The 25,008-nt window shown below is 51.3% G+C and overlaps 1 protein-coding gene and 1 non-coding gene across 8 annotated transcripts in view, besides 5 other annotated features; both read right to left on the minus strand.

Moving 5' to 3' along the window:
- Positions 1-25,008, minus strand: part of BID (BH3 interacting domain death agonist) — a 40,528-nt gene that overhangs the window by 12,479 nt on the left and 3,041 nt on the right. For 4 of the 7 annotated variants that reach the window (NM_001196.4, NM_197966.3, NM_001244567.1 and 1 more), the window contains exon 2: positions 3,489-3,558. The exons of the other annotated variants lie outside the window; for them this stretch is intronic. In NM_001196.4, the coding sequence (NP_001187.1) occupies positions 3,489-3,500 (12 nt within the window). In that variant the 5' untranslated portion in view covers positions 3,501-3,558. The remainder of the gene's footprint in view (positions 1-3,488; positions 3,559-25,008) is intronic. 7 annotated transcript variants of the gene reach the window in all.
- Positions 3,559-4,103: an enhancer, noted in NCBI's record as "H3K4me1 hESC enhancer chr22:18232941-18233485 (GRCh37/hg19 assembly coordinates)". NCBI's record gives its function as "activates a minimal SCP1, AML or CMV promoter by ChIP-STARR-seq in naive H9 embryonic stem cells {active_cell/tissue: H9 hESC(naive)}" and the evidence as "EXISTENCE:reporter gene assay evidence [ECO:0000049][PMID:30033119]".
- Positions 6,675-7,174: an enhancer, noted in NCBI's record as "H3K27ac hESC enhancer chr22:18236057-18236556 (GRCh37/hg19 assembly coordinates)". NCBI's record gives its function as "activates a minimal SCP1, AML or CMV promoter by ChIP-STARR-seq in naive H9 embryonic stem cells {active_cell/tissue: H9 hESC(naive)}" and the evidence as "EXISTENCE:reporter gene assay evidence [ECO:0000049][PMID:30033119]".
- MIR3198-1 (microRNA 3198-1) lies at positions 17,564-17,643 on the minus strand. The gene has a single exon (NR_036168.1). It is a non-coding gene; the product is annotated as a microRNA 3198-1 (primary transcript).
- Positions 21,708-21,757: an enhancer, noted in NCBI's record as "active region_18629". NCBI's record gives its function as "activates an Ori minimal core promoter by ATAC-STARR-seq in GM12878 lymphoblastoid cells {active_cell/tissue: GM12878}" and the evidence as "EXISTENCE:reporter gene assay evidence [ECO:0000049][PMID:35858748]".
- Positions 21,778-21,827: an enhancer, noted in NCBI's record as "active region_18630". NCBI's record gives its function as "activates an Ori minimal core promoter by ATAC-STARR-seq in GM12878 lymphoblastoid cells {active_cell/tissue: GM12878}" and the evidence as "EXISTENCE:reporter gene assay evidence [ECO:0000049][PMID:35858748]".
- Positions 21,898-21,957: an enhancer, noted in NCBI's record as "active region_18631". NCBI's record gives its function as "activates an Ori minimal core promoter by ATAC-STARR-seq in GM12878 lymphoblastoid cells {active_cell/tissue: GM12878}" and the evidence as "EXISTENCE:reporter gene assay evidence [ECO:0000049][PMID:35858748]".

The raw sequence follows: 25,008 nt of genomic DNA on the forward strand, positions 1-25,008 counted from the left end.
CCTTATTTGAAAATAAGGTTTTTACAGATGTAATCAAGTTAAGATGAGGTCATATTGGATTAGGGTGGGCCCTAAATCCAATGACTGGTGTCTTTGTAAGAGAAAGGAGAGGGAGATTTAAGCAGAGACACACAGAGAGGACGCCATGTGAAGACAGAGGCAGCCACAGGAGCCAGGAGAGCGCCCCAGAAGGAAGCAGCCGGGCAACATGGGATTCCAGCCTTTGGGCCTCTAGAACCGGGAGGGGATCCGCATCTGTTGTTTAAAGCCACTCTCCTGCTTGGAACCGCCTACAGCAGCCCCAAGAAGCTAACGCAGGCAGCCGCTGCCCAAGGACTTCTTTTTGACCTGCGCTTGGTAAATTGGCATCCAGAATCTGGACACAGAGCGGTGCTGCCACCACAGCAGGTCAGGTTATCAAACTCAAGATCCCACAGAAAATAAAGACTCGAGGCGGCAGGGAGGGAGAGGAAAGAATGGCACCTGCCAGAGGAGGTCTAGGTGCCGCAAGTGACCGTGAAGCCAAGCACTGGGCCCACTGAGTGGACAGCTGTGTGGACAGGCTCCTGTCTGGACCAGTGCCTCAGGGACAGGCTGGGCCGGCCCTGCAGGACAGGAGTGGGCTCGGAAGATGGATGCCATTTAATTCCAAGAATAGGGCTTGTGCTGTGCCAATATGGAATCATGCCCTTTTTTGATCTTCTAGATCCACTTTGTTTTTGGAGACAGAGTCTCATTCTGTTGCCCAGGCTGGAGTACAATGGTGCCATCTCAGCTCACTGCAACCTCTGCCTCCCAGGTTCAATGGATTCTCCTGCCTCAGCCTCCCAAGTAGCTGGGGTTACAGGCACGTGCCACCACGCCTGGCTAATTTTTGTATTTTTAGTAAAGATGGGGCTTCACCATGTTGGCCAGGCTGGTCTGGAGCTCTTGACCTCAGGTGATCTGCCCACCTTGGCCTCCCAAAGTGCTGGGATTACTGGCGTGAGCCACCATGCCCAGCCTCTAGATCCACTTTTGATAAAAGAATTGATAGTTTTTTATCTTTTTAGATCACAGGAAAAAAATATGTTAAGAGAAACGATCAAGACAGTAAATCCTGCAAGACATGTTACAAAAATGATCTAATGGAGGCAAAAATAATAAGATCAGTTCCAGTGGAAAGGAAAAGATGGTGCTGGCCGGGCGCGGTGGCTCACGCCTGTAATCCCAGCACTTTGGGAAGCCGAGGCGGGCGGATCATGAGGTCAAGAGGTCGAGAACATCCTGGGCAACATGGTGAAACCCCATCTCTACTAAAAATACAAAAATTAGCCAGGTGCGGTGGCTCACGCCTGCAATCCCAGCACTATGGGAGGCCGAGGCGGGCAGATCGCGAGGTCAGGAGATCGAGACCATCCTGGCTAACACGGTGAAACCCCGTCTTTACTAAAATATAAAAAATTAGCCGGGCGTGGTGGTGGGCGCCTGTAGTCCCAGCTACTCGAGAGGCTGAGGCAGGAGAATGGCATGAACTTGGGAGGCGGAGCTGGCAGTGAGCGGAGATCACATCACTGCACTCCAGCCTGGGCGACAGAGCAAAACTGCGTCTCAAAAAAATAATAATAATAAGGCCGGGCACGGTGGCTCACGCCTGTAATCCCAGCACTTTGGGAGGCCCAGACGGGCGGATCACGAGGTCAGGAGATCGAGACCATCCTGGCTAACACGGTGAAACCCCGTCTTTACTAAGATACAAAAAATGAGCCGGGCGTGGTGGCGGGCGCCTGTAGTCCCAGCTACTCGGGAGGCTGAGGCAGGAGAATGGCCTGAACCCGGGAGGCGGAGCCTGCAGTGAGCGGAGATCGTGCCACTGCACTCCAGCCTGGGCGACACAGAGACTCAATCTCAAAAAAAAAAATAAAAATAAAAAATAGAAGTATCTACACAGAATTAAAGTTATGATGGGAAAAAAGGCTGAACCCTATAATTGAAAAGAAAGTTTCGGAGTGTTTCGCTGTGACCCCAGCTCTGTGGCCCTGGGCGGGCTGCCGTACTGCTGCCTCCGCTTCCTCACTCCGAAGGCAAGAAAGGGGAGTGGCGACGTCCACCCTCCCTCACTGAGGGGGCCGGGGAGAGGCGGGCGGGAGGGCAGGCGCCTCCTCCGGCGAGTCAGGGCGCTGCGCGGGTGACGGTGGTGTTCTACCTGCGGAGGCCGCCAGAGCGCGAAGCCGGAACAGCAGCGGCAGGTGGGAAGGGACAGTGGCACCCAGAGTGGTCTTTTGGACACTGACAACAAGCCTGGATCAGGGCCGGGGGAGCTCCTGCAATCTCCTCTGTTTATGTAACTAACATCAAACTCGAGCCACTGCCTCAGCCCTCCAGCCACCACGCTGAAATCCACACCGTCCCCACCTTTGGAAAGGACCCCCAGTAGGGGCAGCTTGAGAACCTCCTGGGTGCCGGGTGCTCTCCATGCTCAGGAACTGCGACACAGTCACTAAGTGCCAAGGCATTAGACTTCGCAGATGCCTTCCCAGAGGCTGCCAGGACAGCGTGAGGCGCCCAGAGGCTGCAGAATTCGGCAGGAGGGAGGGGAGGAGGATGTGATGCAGCGGGTGGGAGAGAGCACCCGTGTGCTGTGATTTTTCTCTCCCCAGACCATTTAAAGGGAAGGAGAGACAAGGAAGCATCCAGGGAGCGTCCTGCTGAAGGCGGGGGCTCCGGGCTCCCCTCCCAGAACTCCACCGCTTTTATCTTTATAAAGACGGGGTCTTACTATGTTGCCCAGGTTTGTCTCAATCAAACTCCTGGCTTCAAGCAATCCTCTCGCTTCTGCCTCCCAAGTCACTGGGATTATGTGCCTAAGCCACCTCGCCCAGCTATGAAGGGAAATTTAAATCCAGTGGGTTAAAAAATTTTTGAAACACCTTACAGTTTACAGTACTTTTATTTGACCTTTATTGATTTATTTGCTCCTCATAGCAATGGCATTGGTTAGACAAGGTAAGTATTGTCTTGCTTTTACAGTTGAGAGAATTATATGAAGTGCTTATCTAATGCCCCCTTTCTTCTTCTTAAATCTCTTTCGTGTTTGTTTGGACAGGGCTGCAGTGCAGTGGCACAATCACAGCTCACTGTAGCCTCGACCTCCTGGCCTCAAGGAATCCTCCTGCCTTGGCCTCCCAAAGTGCTGGGACCCACAGCCTATGGCTGTTAAATGGTCTTAAACCCAAAGCCCCCTCGCCCTTGCAGTTAGCCCCAGGCGCGGTGTGGAGGGGCTGCACCACAAGCGGAGTGCGAGGAAGGCGCAGGACAGGGAAAGGTAGGACTTCCCGGCTCCCGCCTGCTTCAGTGAAGGGGCTGGGCGGGGTTCGTCTGTGCCGAGCTGTGGTAAGGGCCAGGCGGGCTCAGCCTCAGCCCTCAGGGATGCGTGGTGGGGGACACGCAGGCCCTTACCCCTCGACCCCGCCCCCCACAAGGCACCCGCAGGGGATCTGGCCTCTGACCTCACAGTCCATGGCCTGGGCAGCGCGGCAGCTCCGACTCACTCCTGGTTCACAGTGTCCCAGTGGCGACCTGGAAAGGGACACACAGAGTGGGCGGCCGCTCCTGGGAAGCCCTGGTCAGGACCCCTCGGGAGGACGACGAAGCTGGCCTGTGCTCCAGAAATGGCGGCTGAGCCGAGGTCCTGGCCTGAGCCCCGCATCCTGAGTTTCTTTCTCCTTGGCGGGAGCCAAGCTTTGTTTTCCTCATTCCAGATACTCACCCAGGCGCTCAGTGCCCTGGGGCCGACCCCGCACCTGAATTCAGCCCTCCCATGCCGCCCCAGGAAGACCTCAGGCATCAGGGAAACGGGGCCGTGGGCTCACAAATTATTTTATTATCATAAAATGTAAAATGTTTATAGAGAGAGAGAATGGATTTGACAATTAAAAAATTAAATCTTCCGGCTGGACGCAGTAGCTCATGCCTGTAATCCCAGCACTTTGGGAGGCCGAGGCGGGTGGATCATGAGGTCAGGAGATCGAGACCACCCTGGCTAATGCGGTGAAACCCTGTCTCTACTAAAAATACAAAAAATTAGCCGGGCGTGGTGGCGGGCGCCTGTAGTCCCAGCTACTCGGGAGGCTGAGGCAGGAGAATGGCATGAACTTGGGAGGGAGAGGTTGCAGTAAGCCGAGATCACGCCACTGCACTCCAGCCTGGGCGACAGAGCGAGACTCCATCTCAAAAAGAATGACCAGTCTGGCCAACATGGTGAAACCCCATCTCTACAAAAATACAAAATTAGCCAGGTGTGGTGATGCAAGCCCTGTGGGCCCAGCTACTTGGGGGGCTGAAGCAGGAGGATCACTTACACCCAGGAGGTGGAGGCTGCAGTGAGCGGAGATTGCACCACTGCACTCCAGCCTGGGCGAGAGTGAAACCCTGTCTCGAAAAAAAAAAAAGATCTGTGCGGCATCAGTACAGTAAGCTGTCTTAAAAAGACTGAGGCCGGGCGCGGTGGCTCACGCCTGTAATCCCAGCACTTTGGGAGGCCGAGGCGGGTGGATCATGAGGTCAGGAGATCGAGACCATCCTGGCTAACAAGGTGAAACCCCGTCTCTACTAAAAATACAAAAAATTAGCCGGGCGCGGTGGCGGGCGCCTGTAGTCCCAGCTACTCGGGAGGCTGAGGCAGGAGAATGGCGTGAACCCGGGAAGCGGAGCTTGCAGTGAGCCGAGATTGCGCCACTGCAGTCCGCAGTCCGACCTGGGCGACAGAGCGAGACTCCGTCTCAAAAAAAAAAAAAAAGACTGAACACAAATTTCTACAGAACACTGTGAATAGAATAATCCTGTTTTAAAAAGTATTTGCCTGTGTGTGTGTGTGTGTGCGTGTGTGTGTGTAGACACAATATCAGGTTGAACCAAATGAAATGGCCATTTTGTAGGACAAAACCAAGCATTGGCAATTTCACATGGTTCCTGAATACATAGGAAATAAAAAGCAAACAGAGGAGAAAGCCTGTGCCCAGGCAGAGAGGAGGTGGCAGGAGGTAGCACTGACATGCGCATCACCCACCTCCCCACCTGGGGGCTCACACAGGCCTGGGGACCCTGCACTGTTGCAGGCTGCACCCTACTCTCCCTCTGGGGAGCCCAGGAGAAACCCTGGCTGTGTGTGGCCGTGCATTTCATAGGAAGGGACCAAGAGCAAATGACTGAGCTGCATGTGGACAGGGAGGCACCAGGATCTGGCTCCGGGGCCATCTGCCGGCTCCACAGCAGAGGAAGGGGAGTCTGCACCCACAAGAGACAAAGCGCAAGACAGACCCCACCCCAGGAAACAGGCCACAGAGGCCACGGCACCTCCCAGGGCCACTGCCCAGTCCACAGAACAGTGGACCAGACCCTAGCTTCTGCCTCAAGGTCTGGAATCCCCGCCCCTCACCACTTTGTTCTCCAAGGAACAACTTCAGGGGTCTCTGTGGGGAAAGTGCCCACTGTCACCTCTGAGCTCGGGAGGCAGCTCACAAAAACCAGCTTCCTTCACACTCAGATACACGCCCATGTCACAAGCAAACTGCAGCCACCTTGGCACTGTGGTGAGTCTCCCACCAGACCCTAACGCCGTGTCTCATGCAGTGTTTCTCTGCCAGGGCGACTTGGATACCCAGGAAATATCTGGAGCTGTCTGGAGACATTTATGGGGGGTGTGCTCCTGGCACGTAGCGGGTAGCAGTGGGGGCACGGCTCATCAGCTCAAACCCACAACTCATCCAGCTCAAAGTGTCACTAGTGCTCAGGGCCGAAGTCCCATACCAGTGTGTTCAAATACATAGCAAATACCACTAACCCATACCAGTGTCATATGCATGGCAGAATACCCACTAATCCAAACTGGTGTGTCACATACACAGCAGAATACCACTGACCCATACCGATGTTGTCACATCATGGAGGAATACCACTAACCCATGCTGGTGTGTCACATACACAGTGAATACCACTAACCCCAGTGTTGGGCATGTGAATAGCTTAGCATTGTCACCACTAAAGACAGGGCTGTGATGAGTACCCCAATGGGACATTTTTTTTTTTTGAGACGGAGTCTCACTGTGTCGCCCAGGCTGGAGTGCAGTGGCATGATCTTGGCTCACTGCATGCTCCACTTCCCGGGTTCCAGGGATTCTTCTGCCTCAGCCTCCCGAGTAGCTGGGACTACAGGTGCCCGCCACCACGCCCAGCTAACTTTTTGTATTTTTCGTACAGACGGGGTTTCACCGTGTTAGCCAGGATGGTCTGGATCTCCTGACCTCGTGATCCGCCCGTCTTGGCCTCCCGAAGTGCTGGGATTACAGGCATGAGCCACCGCGCCCAGTCTTTTTTTTTTTTTTTTTTTTGAGATGGAGTCTCGCTCTGTCACCCAGGCTGGAGTGCAGTGGCGCAATCTCGGCTCACTGCAAGCTCCGCCTCCCGGGTTCACGCCATTCTCCTGCCTCAGCCTCCTGAGTAGCTAGGACTACAGGCGCCCACCACCACGCCTGGCTAATTTTTTGTATTTTTAGTAGAGACGGGGTTTCACCGTGTTAGCCAGGATGGTCTTGATCTCCTGACCTCATGATCCGCCCGCCTCAGCCTCCCAAAGTGCTAGGATTACAGGCGTGAACCACCGCGCCCAGCCCCCCAATGGGACATTTTCTATCAAATCCATGATCATATGGGATAACAGAGGGGCAAGGTGTTGTGGCAGTCTCGGGAGAGGACAGAGTGAGGGCAGCTCCCCTGAGCTGTGCCTTGAGGCCACACGGCCCAGACCCTGGGGGCCCCATCCCTTGGGACATGAGGCCGCCTCCCCTAGGCAACGGTCTTGGAGGGCTTTAGGAGCAGGGAGTGGCATTCCTAGGCCTGGCTGGTCAACTTTAGGTGGAGCACCAGCCCTGCATCGGGTAACCTCTGGCTTCATTTGTCACTTAAGAAGAAATCCAATGAGTCAACTGCAGCTGTGAGTGGGCCTAGGAGGGCGTGGATGCAGACGCCCTGGAAACCACAGAGGCTCCCCCGTCAATAGCGGCCCTACGCCCATCCCAACTCCTAAACAAAGTTGCTAGTAAGAAGGAAACTCACGCAGCCAGGAGTTCATGCCCTCTCTCTTCCAAGGGCCAGTGGGAAGACGGCCAGGCAGATGGGAAACGGGAAATACCCTGCCTCACCTCAGTGAGGCTGCCCTCATGCCAGGACACTCACAGCCAGGTTCCCCAAGGCCCTCGCAGTGAGCAGGGTGAGGTGCCGAGCCCTGCATGTGCCATTCCCCCAGTCTCCAGGACTCTGCCAGATGGGGGTGACATTCCCCTAGTCTCCAGGACTCTGCAGGACTGGGGTGACATTCCCCCAGTCTCCAGGACTCTGCCGGACAGGGGTGACATTCCCCCAGTCTCCAGGACTCTGCCGGACGGGGGTGACATTCCCCCAGTCTCCAGGACTCTGCAGGACAGGGGTGACATTCCCCCATTCTCCAGGACTCTGCCAGATGGGGGTGACATTCCCCCAGTCTCCAGGACTCTGCCGGATGGGGGTGACATTCCCCCAGTCTCCAGGACTCTGCCGGGCGGGGGTGACATTCCCCCAGTCTCCAGGACTCTGCCGGATGGGGGTGACATTCCCCCAGTCTCCAGGACTTTGCCAGACGGGGGTGACAAATACCATCTCTGACAACAAGGACCCCAGCAGGCACCGCCAGGCCCCTCCGCAGGCCTCCCCTCCAATCCTCACCACGGCCTCGCCAGGAAGGCGCTTCTGCCCTGGTTTCGGAGACACGACTGAGGCTCCAGGGTGCCCAGGGAGGGCAGGGGGCAGCTTCGCTGCTGCTGAGCCAGGGGGCGCCAGGCCCTCACGAGTATGCTCAGATGCCAGCTTTGCTTCTGAGGCCTATGTGCCTCCCATGCACTCTGGAAGCCAAATGTCCTGGAACTCATTGAAAACACCATGCAGTTGGTCAGATAGAGGCATGGGTCACACGGGGACAAGCACAGCACACAGGTGCTCCCAGAAGAAGATTTTTAAGGGCCAGATATCTGCAGGGCAGTCCTCTCCTTGGTCAACATCATCCCTGTCTTCCTAGTCCCACTCACAGGAAACAGCTGACTCACTGAATTTCTTTTCCAGTTTTTTTGTTTTTGTTTTTGTTTGTGTTTTTTTTGGAGACAGAGTCTCACCTGTGTAACCCAGGCTGGAGTACAATGGCATGGTCTTGGCTCACTGCAACCTCCGCCTCCCAGATTCTAGCGATTCTCCTGCCTTAGCCTCCTGAGTAACTGGGACTACAGGTGTGTGCCACCACACCCGGCTAATTTTTGTATTTTTAGTAGAGACGGACTTTCACTATGTTGGGCAGGCTGGTCTTGAACTCCTGACTTCATGATCGCCCACCTTGGCCTCCCAAAATGCTGGGATTACAGGCGTGAGCCACCGTGCCTGGCCTGAATTTCTTTTTTTCTTTTCTTTTTTTTTTTTTTTTTTTTGAGTCGGAGTCTTGCTCTGTCGCCCAGGCTGGAGTGCGGTGGCACGATCTCAGCTCACTGCAAGCTCCGCCTCCCAGGTTCACGCCATTCTCCTGCCTCAGCCTCCCGAGTAGATGGGACTACAGGTGCCCAGCACCATGCCCGCTAATTTAGGAACATCGTGCTGCTCTAGGAACGTCGATCCACCCACCAAACTTCACAGCATGCTCCGTGCAGTGCCAAGGAAAGCTCCAACCCGGAAATGTGAACACACATGGACCATGGCCTAGATTGGTGACCCAGAGAAGGGGCAGTGCCATTTGGGTCAGGGCTGAAGAATGCCCAAGAATTAATCAGAAAAGGAGAGGGGTAGGGAAAGGAATTCCTGACACTTCACTTTTTTGTGCCTTGGTGTCTTCAGAAAAATAAAGGGTTTGGAGGCCGGGCGTGGTGGCTCATGCCTGTAATCCCAGCACTTTGGGAGGCTGAGGCGGGTGGATCACGAGGTCAAGAGACTGAGACCATCCTGGTCAACATGGTGAAACCTTGTCTCTGCTAAAAATACAAAAATTAGCCGGGTGTGGTGGCGCGTACCTGTAATCCAGCTACTCAGGAGGCTAAGGCAGAAGAATCACTTGAACCTGGGAGGCGGGGGTTGCAGTCAGCAGAGATCGCACTACTGCACTACAGCCTGGGCGACAAGAGCAAACTCCGTCTCAAAAAAAAAAAAAAAAGAAAAGAAAAATAAAGGGTTTGGAGAAGGTGATTTCCTTTTTGGTTTTTTGTTTGTTTGTTTGTTTTTCTGAGACGGAGTCTCACTCTGTCGCCCAGGCAGGAGTACAATGGCACGATCTCGGCTCACTGCAACCTCTGCCTTCTGGGTTCAAGCAAGTCTCCTGCCTCAGCCTCCTGAGTAGCTAGGATTACAGGCACACACCACCACACCTGACTAATTTTTGTATTTTTAGCAGAGATGGGGTTTCACTATGTTAGCCAGGCTGGTCTGGAACTCCTGACCTCATGATCCACCCTCCTTCGGCCTCCCAAAGTGCTGGGATTACAGGCGTGAGCCACTGCAGCCGGCCTGTTGTTGTTCTTACGTGAACACATGTGAAAGGTTTTATTAACTCATTTTTTAACAGGGGAAACAGCGATGTTAAAACCATTCAAAGGAGTCCAAGAACTGTGTGCGCAGGCAACGGGGAAACTGGAAATGCGTTGACAAACTGACGCAAAACTGGGCCCAACAGCCACAAGGCACTGGTCGTTTTCCACTGGGCAAAGTTCAGTCGCATTTCTTTCTGTTCTCTTTCTTTCTTTTCTTTTTTCTCTTTCTTTCTTTCTTTCTTTCTTCTTTCTTTCTTTCTTTCTTTCTTTCTTTCTTTCTTTCTTTCTTTTCTTTCTTTCTTTCTTTCTCTCTCTCTTTCTGTCTGTCTCTCTCTTTCTTTCCTTCTTTCCTTCCTTCCTTCTTTCTTTCCTTCCTTTCCTTTCTTTCTTTTTTTTTTCTTTTTTGAGATGGAGTCTCGCTCTGTTACCCAGGCCGGAGTGCAATGGCACAATCTCGGCTCACTGCAACCTCCACCTCCTGGGTTCAAGTGATTCTCCTGCTTCAGCCCCCCAAGCAGATGGGGCTATAGGCATGCACCATCATGCCCAGCTAATTTTTGTATTTTTAGCAGAGATGGGGTTTCACTATGTTGGCCAGGCGGGTCTCAAACTCCTGACCTTGCGATCCGCCCCCCTCAGCCTCTCAAAGTGCTGGGATTACAGGCGTGAGCCACTATGCCGGCCGCAAAGGATTCTTTAACACAAAAGGGCAGGACTCATGAGACTGACCTGACCATTACATGGTGCAGTGAGAGTTCAATTTAACTAAGCCTCCTTATGCTTCTTTGACTAATTTAGGGCCATGCAGTGTCAAACAGCAATGAGGGCACAAAAGCAGCTTCTCCCTGGCTATCTTCAGAAGGAATCTTAGATTGCCCTTGAACACCATCAACAATCTGCTATTTGGAGGGCTGGAAACTAAGCCTAAGAAACCACCAGGCTTCGGCCGGGCACGCTGGCTCATGCCTGTAATCCCAGCACTTTGGGAGGCCAGGGCAGGCTGATCACCTGAGCCCAGGAGTTCAAGACCAGCCTAGGCAATCTGGTGAAACCCAGTCTCTATAATATATACAAAAACTAGCCAGGCATGGTGGCGTGTGCCTGTAGTCCCAGCTACTGGGGAAGGATTGCTTGAGCCCGGGAGGTGGAGGTTACAGCGAGCTGAGATCACGCCACTGCACTCCAGCCTGGGCAACAGAGCCTGACCCTGTCCCAAAAAAAAAAAAAAAAAAAAAAAATGCCAGGCGCAGTCGCTCATGCCTGTAATCTCAGCACTTTGGGAGGCCGAGGCGGGCGGATCACAAGGTCAGGAGATCCAGACCATCCTGGCTAACACGGTGAAACCCCGTCTCTACTAAAAATACAAAAAAATTAGCCGGGCGTGGTGGCGGGCGCCTGTAATCCCAGCTACTCGGGAGGCTGAGGCAGGAGAATGGAGTGAACCCGGGAGGCGGAGCTTGCAGTGAGCCAAGATAGCGCCACTGTACTCCAGCCTGCGCGACAGAGCGAGACTCCGTCTCAAAAAAAAAAAAAAAAGAAAAAAAGAAAGCAATTCCAGCAGGTTTCTCCTGTAGTGCCTGTGCGAGTGAAGCCCACCCAAAGGTGAGGCGAGGGTGTGTTCTCAGAGCTCCCAACAGCAAGGGACTCGGCCGCTGTCACTCGCGTTTGCCTGGGAGAGGCTCCAAGGAAAGCTACCCATCGATCCGTTACGTGCACCTATGGGTTCTCTACTTGGTCTCAAGTTGGATGGAAGCAGAGACAAAACTTCAGGAAGCTGCCAGTCAATCAAGCCCTGGCCATGTGGGGCTGACAGCATAGACTCTAGTTACTGCATGGCTTCCCGGATGGTTGCTAGTGACAGCACCCGGCTCCACAAGCTGGCCTGTGGCCTCCTGGGGGGTCCTTGAAGGTAACGGGGTCCAGTCATGTCTGTTTGTACATTCAGTCTCATATCTCTTTTATTCAGGTCCCTCAAAGAGCTTAAGTTCCCCAGCTGCTGGCAAGTGACCTTCCTGCCACGCTGTGAGCTGGGGCCGAGCTACTCTTCCCAGGAGGCCGAGACCTCGCAGGCACTGACTCCACGGTCGCCTCAGTTCCTCTAGAAGTGGCTGGTCAGCATCCTTCACAAATACGGCATTCCAGGGAAGGCCCTGGCCGCACTAGGAACTTATCCAGTTATATTTTAGTTTGAGAAAAGGCACAGACGCCAGTCCCTCAAAAAATTAAACCTAGAACTACCATTTGACCTAGAATTCAGCTTTTGGGTATTACGCTGAAGAACTGAAAAGTAGAGCCTGGAACACACATTTGCACACCCATGCTAACAGCAAACAAAAGGCCAAAATAGTCCAGATGTCTAACAGATGAGTGGAAAAATAAAACATGGGGTGACATACAATTGACACACGCTACAACACAGATGAACTTGAAGACACTACGCTGGGCGAACTAGGCCAGTCATGAAAGGACAAATACATGTGGTTCTATCTCCAAGGGGTGCCCAGAGTAGTCAACTTCACAAGGATCAGAAAGTACAAAGGCACCTGCCAAGGGCTGGGGGTGGCAAGTTAGCGTTTAATGGTACCATTTCTGTTTTGAAAGGTGAAAAAGTTCTGGAGATGGTTGGTGGTAATGGTTGCACGACAATGAGACTGTACTGAATGCCACTGAACTGTACGCTTAAAAATGCTTAAAATGGGAAATCTTATGCTATATCTATTTTACCACGATAAAAAAATATACACTTAAAAAAGAGCCAGGTGGGCCAGGTGTGGTGGCTCATGCCTGTAATCGCAGCACTTTGGGAGGACGAGGTGGGCGGATCACAAGGTCAAGAGATCGAGACCATCCTGGCCAACATGGTGAAACCCCGTCTCTACTAAAAATACAAAAATTAGCTGGGCGTGGTGGCGCACACCTGTAGTCCCAGCTACTCAGGAGGTTGAGGCAGGAGAATCACTTGAACCCGGGAGGCAGAGGTTGCAGTGAGCCGAGATCACGCCACTACACTCCAGCCTGGCGACAGAAAAAGACTCCGTCTCAAAACAAAAAACAAAACAAAAAAAAAAAAACAAAAGAACCAGGTGTGGGCTGGGTGCGGTGGCTCACACCTGTAATCCTAGCATTTTGGGAGGCCAAAGCAGGTGGATCACTTGAGGTCAGGTGTTCAAGACCAGCCTGGCCAACATGGAGAAAACCCCATCTCTACTAAAAATACAAAAATTAGCCGGGCGTGCACCTGTAATCCCAGCTACTCGGGAGGCTGAGGCAGGAGAATCGCTTAAACCCAGGAGGCGGAGGTTGCAGTGAGCCGAGATCATGCCACTGCACTCCAGCCTGGGTGACAGAGTGAGACCCCGTCTCAAAACAAACAAACAAAAAACAGAGCCAGGTGTAGTGGTGTGCACCTGTAATCTCAGCTCCTCAGAAGGCTGCAGTGGGAGGACTGCTTGAAAGCCCAGGAGCTCAAGGCCAGCCTGGGCAACATAGTGAGGCCCCAACTCTAAAAATTATTATTATTATTAAAGTTTAAAATTTTTTAAATTTCAAATTTCAATTTTAAAAAGGACAGATTCTTACTGAACCTATGCAAATAACTATATCACCACAAAAAATAAGGAGACAGTGAGAATGGGGGTTCACTGAGAAAGCAATATCATTTAAAAATGTTTCGGCCGGGCGAGGTGGCTCACGCCTGTAATCCCAGCACTTTGGGAGGCCGAAGCGGGTGGATCACGATGTCAGGAGATCGAGACCATCCTGGCTAACCCTAAGTCTCTACTAAAAATACAAAAAATTAGCCGGGCGTGGTGGTGGGCACCTGTAGTCCCAGCTACTCAGGAGGCTGAGGCAGGAGAATGGCGTGAACTCGGGAGGCAGAGCTTGCAGTGAGCCGAGATTGCGCCACTGCACTCCAGCCTGGGCGACAGAGTGAGACTCCATCTCAAAAAAAAAAAAAAAAAAAGTTTCATATCTGGCCGGGCACAATGACTCATGCCTATACTCCCAGCACTTTGGGAGGCTGATGAGGGCAGATCACTTGAGGTCAAGCGTTCAAGACCAGCCTGGCCAACATCTCTACTCTACATCCCAGCTCTACTAAAAATACAAAAACTTAGCCAGGTGAGGTGATGGGCAACTGTAGTCCCAGCTACTCGAGAGGCTGAGGCAGAAGAATCGCTTGAACCCAGGAGGCGGGGGTTGCAGTGAGGTGAGATCGCGCCACTGCACTCCAGCCTGGGTAACAGAGCAAGACTCTGTCTCAAAAAAAAAAAAAAAAAAAAAAAAAAGTTTCATATCCATCTACCAGAGCAGAGCCTACTAAATCATCACGGATTACAGACACTAAGAATGAGAAAGCATTTCCTCTTACATCTAGAAAACAGAAATGAACACATCAGCTATATTCCAAGCAAACCACCACAATTCAGTTCCCTCAGCAGCCCGTCGCACTCTGCAGGACTCGGAGCCAGCTTCCAGCCTCACGAAGCCCTGGCCCGGCGCGCTGGGGTGGTCTGAGAGCCATTGAGGTAATGTCCATGCAGAAGCCTGGGCCCAGAGGCTCTATTAGTCACTGGTGAAAGCACCAGGCAATCCTTTCCCACATGGGGAACATCAGCATGGGAAGACTCAAAGTCTCTTTTCATAACGATTTTCTAATGCATCTGGCCAGATGCGTTATTCAGATATTTCTGAATATTTCATTCAGATATTTTCTGAATGAAAATATCCTACACAGAGCAAGGGAGGGCACTGACAAGCACGGGGCCTCCCGCCAAGCCCAGAACTTCTGAATTATTTCCATGAATAACATTTACACATACACACCGAACCAAGGAGCTGTGGCCAGCGTCTCTTGTGATTTGACAACCACTCTTCCCGTGCAGGTCTTACAAGATAACGCTTAAAACAAACCTCATTATGTCTATGGTATTTTTCTTTTTATAAGGTGAATGATCAAATCTTTGTGATTTTCCAGGGGCACTCAGAGTCTCAGGGACAGTTTTAGAGGCAATCTGGACAGTTGTTTAAGGCAGGCTCGCGGGTGTCTGAGAGAGACTTGATTATCCATTAACAAAACAAACCTGATGTTTCACAAGTGATGAACCTTTGTTCTTTGTTTTTTCCCCTTAAATAAGCACAAACATAATAAAGTCAACATAAAGCATCAAAAATGATTCTGCTATACAGAACCTCTGCCATCCAGGTGCATTACACAGAAAGGAAAGAATAATCTTTCACTTTTTTTTTTTTTTTTTTTTGAGATGAAGTCTCGCTCTGTCGCCCAGGCTGGAGTGCAGTGGCGTGATCTTGGCTCACTGCAAGCTCTGCCTCCTGGGTTCACGCCATTCTCCTGCCTCAGCCTCCCGAGTAGCTGGGACTACAGGCGCCCGCCACCACGCCCGGCTAATTTTTTGTATTTTTAGTGGAGACGGGGTTTCACCGTGTTAGCCAGGATGGTCTCGATCTCCTGACATCGTCGTGATCCACCCGCCTCGGCCTCCCAAAGTGCTGGGATTACAGGCATAAGCCACCGCACCCGGCCATAATCTTTCACTTTGAAGGCAAAGGCATTAATGAGTAAACAAAGAAGGCAAGACCATCAAGGCCAGCAAACTTTGCTAAAATTGTGACATAATTCATTGCTGCTTTTCAGACTCAGGTACCATGATGATAAAAGGCACATACCTAGTTTTGCCCTTCACTATGTTTTTTGTCATTTTTACCATATTCTGGAAAACACTGGTAAATCGCTTTAGGAGAGAGTGTGGACCAGGATATCCTAGGGTGCCTGAGGCCCTTTTCAGAGAATCTGTGAGGTTGAAAAGCTTCCATAACACAGTTTCTTCTGTCATTCTCTCATGAGGGTACAGTGGACTTTCCCAGGGGCTGAGCGAAAGAGATACTGCAACAACCGAGAATCCAGGTATCCTCTATTCAGTCAGACACCCAGGAGATCTGCAGAAACACTGACGCAATGCTGTTCTTCTCAATAGAAATGTTTTGTTTTATAAAATAGTTACGTTGGCCAGGCGAGGTGGCTCACGCTCGTAATCCCAGAACTTTGGGAGGCCGAGGCGGGTGGATCACCTGAGGTCAGGAGTTTGAGACCAGCCTGACCAATATGGTGAAATCCCGTCTCTACTAAAAATACAAAAATTAGCCGGGCATGATGGCGTGCACCTGTAACCCAGCTACTCGGGAGGCTGAGGCAGAAGAATTGCTTGAACCCAGAAGGCAGAGGTTGCAGTGAGCCAAGATCAGGCCACTGCACTCCAGCCTGGTCAACAGAGCAAGACTCTGTCTCAAAATTAATTAATTAATTAATTTAATTAAACAATTTCACAAATTTCAAATGAATGAACACTTTTTTTTTTTTGGAGACAGGGTCTCACTCTGTCAAGCAGGCTAGAGTGCAGTAGCACGATCATGGCCCACTACAGCCTCAAACTCCTGGGCTCAAGTGATCCTCCTGCCTCAGCTTCCCAAAGTGCTGGGATTACAGGTAAGGACCACTGTGACTGGCCTATTTTTAAAATTTCTCAGTTTTAATTCTAACACAGAATATAGGGATAAAAGCCTACTTAATCAAACGCTTTTTGGTTCCTCAATAATTTTTATATATAAAGGGATCTAGAGACCAAAAAGTTTGAGAAGTGCTGCTTTGAGGAAAAAAAACAAAACCTGTTTGTTTGTTTGTTTTTTTAAGACGGAGTCTCACTCTGTCACCCAGGCTGGAGTGCAATGGCGTGATCTTGCCTCATTACATCCTCCGCCTCCCAGGCTCAAGCGATTCTCCTGCCTCAGCCTCCCGAGTAGCTGGGACTACAGGCATGCACCACCTCATCCGGCTAATTTTTGTATTTTTAGTAGAGATGAGGTTTCACCATGTTAGCCTGGCTGGTCTCAAACTCCTGACCTTAGGCGATCCACCCGCCTCAGCCTCCCAAAGTGCTGGCATTACAGGCGTGAGAAACTTCGCCTGGCCACCTGTATTTTTTCTTTGAAAAATAAAAGCATTTACATAGCTGTTTGTCTCCATCATGTGTATTAATTATAACTTTTTTTTTTTTGAGACATAGTCTGGCTCTGTCATCCAGGCTGGAGTGCAGTGGCACAATCTTGGCTCACTGCAACCTTCGTCTCCTGGGTTCAAGTGATTCTCCTGCCTCAGCCTCCCAAGTAGCTGGGATTACAGGTGACCGCCACCACACCTGGCTAATTTTTGTATTTTTAGTAGAGACCGGGTTCCTCCGTGCTGGTCAAGCTGGTCTCGAACTTCTGACCTCAGGTGATCCGCCCGCCTTGGTCTCCCAAAGTGCTGGGATTACAGGCGTGAACCACCGTGCCTGGCCTTATTATAACTTTTAACAAAGTAACTGACTTCCATTTTACAGAGAACCGCAGGCTGACAGTTGAGAGCTGTCTCCAGACACATGTTTAGCAGACGCCTGTGGGCACACACACCATAGCCTTCACAGCCACTCGCGCCCTTCTATGCTTCCTCAACATGAAAACATACTTTTTTTTTTTTTTTGAAAAGCAACCATTTATTAGAACCAATACAAGAGTATGAAAAGAGGGAAAAGAGGAGGGTAGAAGAGGGGGAGAGAATGAGGTCTGTATCAGATGTCAGTTATGGAAACACATAAATGCTTACTCTTTTTAAACACTGACATTTACAAGGTGAACATATATATAGACCACTTATAATTTAAAAAAAAAAAAAATCAAAAGCAGACATGTTTGGCTGAAATAAAACCAGGAAACACAACCAAAACTCCCCCATAAACCTAAAAGTCCATGGAGAATTCAATTTCTCATTTCCATTCAGAAATCTGGCTACAGAGTGATTTGTTTGCTACTTGGGACAGTACAGCGTGCTGAAAGAAACCCAGCTACTGAGTCTCTTAGATCCCATCCTGTAGGAAGTGGTGGGAAAGCCAGCGGACCATGGGCAAGTCAACTCCTGGCTACTTGGCAGGGCGTCAGACTGTGCTCTCTCCATTCCCCAGGACTCCACAGAACCGTCTGGTACTGCTAGTGCTGGGTGAACAGTGAGAGCACAGTCCACAAAACACAGAGAACCAGAATGTGACTGCAAGCAGCCAGGACCTTGTGCTTTTTCATGGATTACAAATCTAGGGCCAAGGAGAGGGAAAGGAGAAAGAGCCCTATTGGGAAGAGGCGTTGGCTGTGCCCCTACACTGAGATGGAAAGAGTAAGGCTCTTGAGCCCACACCTGGGCAAGTAGAAATAGTGTCCAAACTTTTCTCAAACCAGAGGGAAAAAAGGTCAAGGTTAGGTTAAGACTGCAGACACTAAGAGATCACAGATGCTGAATACAGTGAATCGGATGAAGCTTTAAGGATCAATGCCCAATTCTGAGTGTTACACACATTTCTAGGAAAAATAATTCCAATGTAGCTTTTTGTTGGGGGGTGGAAATAAGGTGGTCACATTTATTGAATCAGCTGTCCCTATGAGGAAGGAGAGGCCCGGGTACAGATACCACAAAGGGGTACAGTGACCCAGCTGTCCTGGGATCGGTTGGGGAGTGGTAAGCAATGACATAAATCAAAACCATTGAGGGTTGCTTTGATCCTGAGACAGTCTGAGTCTGCTTCAAACCCATGGGGAATGGAACTTTCATCCCCAACCTGCAGAGAGAAATAAGCGGTAGCATCTCTGCCTCACGATTCCCTAATCCAATGCTCCTGCATCTGAAATGACCTCCCTCTGTGAATGCAAGACACAGAAAATCCCAAGTGCCTTCCCCAACAACATCCTAAGTAAGTCTGGACTAGTAAGATTCCAACATTCATGAAAACACTGTCAACATCTGAACTAGCAGATCTGATGAGGGGTGGGGGTAGAGAATTTGCCGAGTCAGTAAGTAGTTCCAGTCTTGGAGACAGCTCAGTGAGGACCAAAGCCTGTGTGTCCGGCTCAAGACATCCTCCACAGAGGACCCAAGACATCCTCCACAGAGGACCCAAGACATCCTCCACAGAGGACCCTGCGGTATTCTATTAACTTTGACTTACAATGCCTCACAACAACGCCCCTGTGAGGTAGGTCAGTATGATCACCCCCATTTGACAGATGGGGAACTGAGGCATTGAAAGAAGTGACTTGCCAAGGTCATGACTGCAGGCCAAGATACGGCCTCTTTTTAGAGCTGAAAAAAACCCAGGTATACCTAGTAACCAATGTTTTACTATTCTGTCTTACCGAGTAAGTATGTCGATATCCAAAGAATACCTACTCAACTCCATTTAGTATCAGTCCAAGGTTTTAAGTTACCTAAGCTTTATTTTGGTACAGTACACTTTCAGAATAATGAACACATTTATTTGAACACAAACTTATATTTTTCATAATCTTAAACATTATGTAACAGTAATATTAGCTGATTTGATAAGTAAACCCGTAGAAGTTTAGGGGAGGAAGCCAAGTAGAACAAAAGGTACACCTGTATTATAGCTAATGCTGATAAACTGAAGAAAAGGGGGGAAGGATAGCATTAGGAGATATACCTAATGACGAGTTAATGGGTGCAGCACACCAACATGGCACATGTATATATATGTAACAAACCTGCACGTTGTGCACATGTACCCTAAAACTTAAAGTATAATAATAAAAAGAAACTGAAGAAAAGACATAGCTTTTTAAAACCCAAATTATTAGTCTCATTTGCCAAAGATTTACATCAATTACGTGAACTTAGATGATTATTGTTATTATTATTATTGGAGACAGGGTCTGGCTCTGTTCCGCAGGCCGGACTGCAGTGGTGCAGTCACAGCTCACTACAGCCTCAACCTCCCGGGCTCAGGCGATCCTCCCCCCTCAGCCTCCAGAGCCGGGACTACAGGCACAACCACCATGCCCGGCTAATCTTTTATTTTTTGTAGAGTCAAGGTCTTGCCATGTTGCCCAGGCTGGTATCGAGCTCCTGGACTCAAGACATCCTCCTGCCTCAGCCTCCCAAATTGCTAGGATTACAGGTGTGAGCCACTGCACCTGGCCTGAACTTAAGATTCTTAAAATATTCCAGTTTGTTTCTGTAAGAAGAATTTCTTTCTTTCTTTTTTTTTTTTTTTTTGAGATGGAGTCTCACTTTGTCGCCCAGGCTGGAGTGCAGTGGCGCGATCTCAGCTCACTGCAAGCTCCGCCTCCCAAGCTCAAGCGATTCTCCTGCCTCAGCCTCCCGAGTAGCTGGAATTACAGGCATGCACCACTATGCCGGGCTAATTTTGTATTTTTAGTAGAGAGGGGGTTTCTCCATGTTGGCCTGGCTGGTCTCAAACTCCCGACCTCAGGTGATCGACCCGCCTCGGCCTCCCAAAGTGCTGGGATTACAGGCGTGAGCCACTTCGCGCCCAGCCTTTTTTGTTTGTCTGTTTGTTTTTTGAGACAGAGTCTCACTCTGTTGCCCAGGCTGGAGTGCAATGGTGTGATCTCTGCTCACTGCAACCTCCGCAGCCTGGGTTCACGCCATTCTCCTGCCTCAGCCTCCCAAGTAGTTGGGAGTATAGGCGTCTGCCACCACGCCCGGCTAATTGTTTGTATTTTTTAGTGGACACGGGGTTTCACTGTGTTAACCAGGATGGTCTGGATCTCCTGACCTCGTGATCTGCCTGCCTCAGCCTCCCAAAGTGCTGGGATTACAGGCCTGAGCCACCATGCCCGGCCAAGAATTTCTTTTTAAATTTAAAGTCTAGTGCATTAAAATTATTAGAAGTACAGCCAGGCGTGGTGGCTCACGCCTGTAATCCCAGCACTCTGGGAGGCCAAGGCAGGAGGATCACCTGAGATCAGGAGTTCGAGACCAGCCTGGCCAACATGGTGAAACCCCATCTCTACTAAAAATACAAAAATTAGCTGGGCATGGTGGCACACACCTGTAATCCCAGCTACTTGGGAGGCTGAGGCAGGAGAATCTCTTGAACCCAGGAGGCAGAGGTTGCAGTGAGCCGAGATCGCGCCACTGCACTCTAGCCTGTGTGACAGAGTGAGATTCCATCTCAAAAAAAAAAAATTATAATAAATAAAGAAATAAATTATTAGAAGTACGATTTTCCTACGTTCTGGAAATCTTAGAAATATTTACTTACATAAGCTAATCACGAACCAATCAGAATAGAGTTCCTCCAATTCAAGACACTTCATGACCTTACCCAATGACTCAAAAAAAGTTTTCCACATTCACTTAGTGAGAGGCAAAGGCCTTTCTGAATTACAACTTCAGCCCCAGGGCAAGAGTAAACACAGAAACTGGAAAAGTCCCTGGACCAGGTGTCAAAGAGGTATCCTTCCCGGTGGACACAAAATTCTGAATTGAATTGAGCTCAAAAGAGGCTAAGGACACAGAGAACGAAGTCTGATCATCCAGATTCTCCGTATCTGACCACAGAGAACTGATCTCTGTCATCCGCCTACAAAGATGAGCAAAACAATATGACCACAAACCAATGCTCAATCACTGATGCCACCAAGCCATGGGTAAGCCCGAAACCAACAGAACACAGAGTCAGGGGCAGGGGAAACAGAGACACGGAGAGAAAACGGAGAAACAGCGTCCGCGAAGTGAAAAGTTCCATTGCTGCTTGAATTTGCCTCTGGTAGCCAAGAAAAGGCCAGCACTGTGGGAGGCCAAGGCAGGAGGATCACTTGAGCCCAGGAGTTTGAGGCAAACCTGGGCAACACAGTGAGACCCTGTCTCTACAAAAAATACAAAATAAAAAATGAAGGAAACATTGACACCTACTGTAACATGAGTTACAGCAGTTAACATGAGTTGAAAATATGCTACATGAAAGAAGTCAGTCACAAAAGACCACGTAGTGTGTGATTCCATTAGTATGAAATGTCCTAAATGTGCAACTCCATAGACAGAAAGATTAGGGCTGCCAGGGCTGCGGAGCAGCCACCAGTGTGTCTGGAGCTTCTCTTTGGGTTACTGAAATGTTCTGCCTGTAGGCGGTGGTGACGGTCGCACACCGTGTATATACTAAGCCACTGAACTGTGCCCTTTGATGGGTGAATTTTATGGCATGTGCAGTATGTCTCAATCAAACGGTTTTTGAAAAGGCAGCCAGCAGGAGGAGACATGAGGAGGCAAGAGCCTCTTCAGGTGACTGGGGCCCCCTCCCAGAGGTCGGAGGCTCCACCACAGGCCCCAGAAGTCAGTGGACCCCTATGCTCCAGGTCTTTGTGACCCGGGAGTCCTGCCTCCCTCCCCTGCCCAGGCCCTGGGCTTCTGGGTGGGGCATGGTGGATGGCAGGGGAAGGCAGGTGTCCCTCAGCTACTCCAGAATCCCTGGTGAGCCTCTGGTGAGCCTCCTGGTCCGCCCCTCCCTGAACTCTCTGTAGACTCTGTCATAAAGAACAAGGCTGGGCCGCAAGGTGGCTCACGCCTGTAATCCCAGCACTTTGGGAGGCCGAGGCGGGTGGATCACGAGGTCAGGAGATCGAGACCATCCTGGCTAACACGGTGAAACCCCTTCTCTACTAAAAATAGAAAAAATTAGCCGGCATGGTGGTGGGCACCTGTAGTCCCAGCTACTCGGGAAGCTGAGGCAGGAGAATGGCGTGAAACTCGGGAGGCAGAGCTTGCAGTGAGCCGAGATCGCGCCACTGCACTCTAGCCTGGGCGACAGAGCGAGACTCCGTCTCAAAAAAAAAAAAAAAAAAAATTAGCCGGGCGTGGTGGTGGGCGCCTGTAGTCCCAGCTACTCAGGAGGCTGAGACAGGAGAATGGCGTGAACCTGGGAGGCGGAGCTTGCAGGGAGCAGAGATCGTGCCACTGCACTCCAGCCTGGGCGACAGAGTGAGACTCGTCTCAAAAATAAATAAATAAATAAATAAATAAATAAATAATAACTAAATAAATAAAGAACAAGGCTTTCACCACATCCCAGGCAGAGTCCAAGTCAGGGCAGAGCCTCACAGAGCACAGCAGGGCCTGTGCCGTGCCAACGCCATGCCCCTGCCTGGCAGAAATGCCACCCAGCCCCTGGCAGAAACGCCTCCCCTCTCCTATGGAGGGGCTGATGACCCAGGAGCGGCTGGCTGCTGGTGTGAGTACACGGGTGACCCTTCCACAAAGGCCCCTAGCTGGGCTCCCTGCTCAGTTGGCCGGGTTTGGGGCTGGATGTCTGCAGGGGTCCTCAGGGATACCCAGAGGGAGAAACAAGGCTTTTGGGGAAATGGTGACACCTGGGGCCAGGTTTCTCACAGCCAGGCCCCATCTCTCCCTGCCTGGATTTCAGGGGAAGTGGGGCTTGGGTAAACAGGAACGGACGTGGCCATCAGGCCGGAAGGGTGTGTGGGCCACAGAGAAGCACCCTGAGGCTGTGCTGTCATCCAGAGTGCCACCCCGCTTTTCCAGGGCACAGCAAGGAAGTGCCTGCTGGAAGGATCCTGGGGACAGTTGTTAAGGCAATTTTATCTTCTCATAGCATGCCTGCCTCAGTTCCGCAGCCAGGACGGTGCCTTACTGACTCCACACACAGAGGCAGCTGGGTCCAGGAGGCAGCCATCCCAAACGCAGTGACCTCCAGCACCCAAAGCTCAGAGTTCCCAGCTGAACCCAGGAGGCACCCACCTTCCTGTCTCTAGGCAGATGCCAGCTGGTGCAGGAGCCACTCCCAGTCCCAATACCAGGCCTGGTCACGTGGTGCCCCGCCAGGCTTGGGGGTGTGCACTTGCCCGCTGGCCTCCGGTGCCCTCAGGCCTAGCCTCATTGTCACAGGAACGGAGCTCCTCGGGGATGGCCACCTTCCTGGACTTACCCCCAGGAGGGACACGCTGCTGCCTCCCAGGGCCCTTCGTGCCACTGGCCCCTTTCTTTCCACCCCCATATGCTACCCCTGCCTACTCCCTTCCCTGGCCCTGGGTTGCCACTCCTGTCCTGTTCTCCTGCTGTCCCCACCCCAGCCCTGACCCCAGATGGCTCTCCCTACAAAAACACCAGAACCCCAGAGAAGCTCAATCCCCCAAGTCCATCTGCATTTTAAGAAGCCCTCACGCACTCCCAGCCCAGAGAGGGAAGCTGTAAAGGTGGACAGGTCATGTCGGGCTTTGAACCTGCAATGTGATCTCACCTTCCCCGTCTGTAAAAGGGGACACTCCCTGCCTTGTGGGATCACATGCAGTATCAGAAAAAGCACCTGACATGTGACATCCACTTACAAAGGGTTTTCCCTTCTCTTTGGTTTTGGGGGAGAATGGGAGAGGCCCAAGCAGAAGCTCCTGGAACACCGCCCATCCCGGACCCAGGGTTGTAGTCACCTGAACACTCACCCAGACAAGGGAAACTTCACAGAATGAATGTGAGGAATAAAATGAGACATTCAGTTACACAAATTAAACCAAACCCAGATGCAGAGGTGCCCCATAACAGAAATAGAGCAACTACTGCCAGCCTTGGATGAAAGCTCTTGGCCAAGGGCCGTGACGGCGGCGGGGAGGTTCAGCAGCTGTCCCCAAGCACACAGGACATTTGGCACCTCCAAGCCCAGCCTGTCCCACCAGGCCACGGCACACTTTCCTTCCTCTGAAGAAAGGGGGTTTGTTAAGCCAACGAGGAGGGAAGCCAAGGACTGCCCCCGGCGCCAGCATGGCTATGAGCATAGAAGCGGGCTGAGCCACAGGCTGGGGGATCCCATGCAGACCAGGCAAAGCCCAGGCAGGATGCTCTGCAGAAAGTTCCCTGGTGATCCGGACCCGGAGCCAGACTGAGCCGCAGCCCCAGAAGACAGGTATCTCCTCCCCTGGGGCCACAGCAGCCACAGAGGCCACCCACGGCTTCCACTAGGACAGTGTGTCTTTCCAGTTACTCTACGTACCTAAAAGTGACCAGCCCCCTTTCAGGTCTGGTCTATGATCCAGATGGTGATCTTTCCCCCACTTTTTTTTTGAGACGGAGTCTCGCTCTGTCCCCCAGGCTGGAGTGCAGTGGCGCGATCTCGGCTCACTGCAAGCTCCACCTCCCGGGTTCACACCATTCTCCTGCCTCAGCCTCCCAGGTAGCTGGGACTATGGGCGCCCCCCACCACGCACAGCTAATTTTCTGTATTTTTAGTAGAGACGGGGTTTCAACGTCTTAGTCAGGACGGTCTTGATCTCCTGACCTCATGATCCGCCCAACTCGGCCTCCCAAAGTGCTGGGATTACAGGCGTGAGCCACCGCGCCCGGCTGGTCTTTCCCCTTTAAGACCCCACTTCCCACCCCCACCCTGGCCAAGCTGATAGGATTCAAGGAGTGCGGCGGTGCAATCACAGCTCACTATAGCCTTGACCTCCCGGGCTCGAGCAATCCTCCCGTCTCAGCCTCCCAAAGCCACTTCCTCCTTTTCTTAGTTGTTGGCTTCTTCTACAGAAAAGGATCCTGAAAACAAACACCTAAAATGCCAACCAAGAATTC

This window comes from Homo sapiens, chromosome 22, assembly GCF_000001405.40.
Source record: "Homo sapiens chromosome 22, GRCh38.p14 Primary Assembly".
NCBI classification, from domain to species: domain Eukaryota; kingdom Metazoa; phylum Chordata; class Mammalia; order Primates; family Hominidae; genus Homo; species Homo sapiens.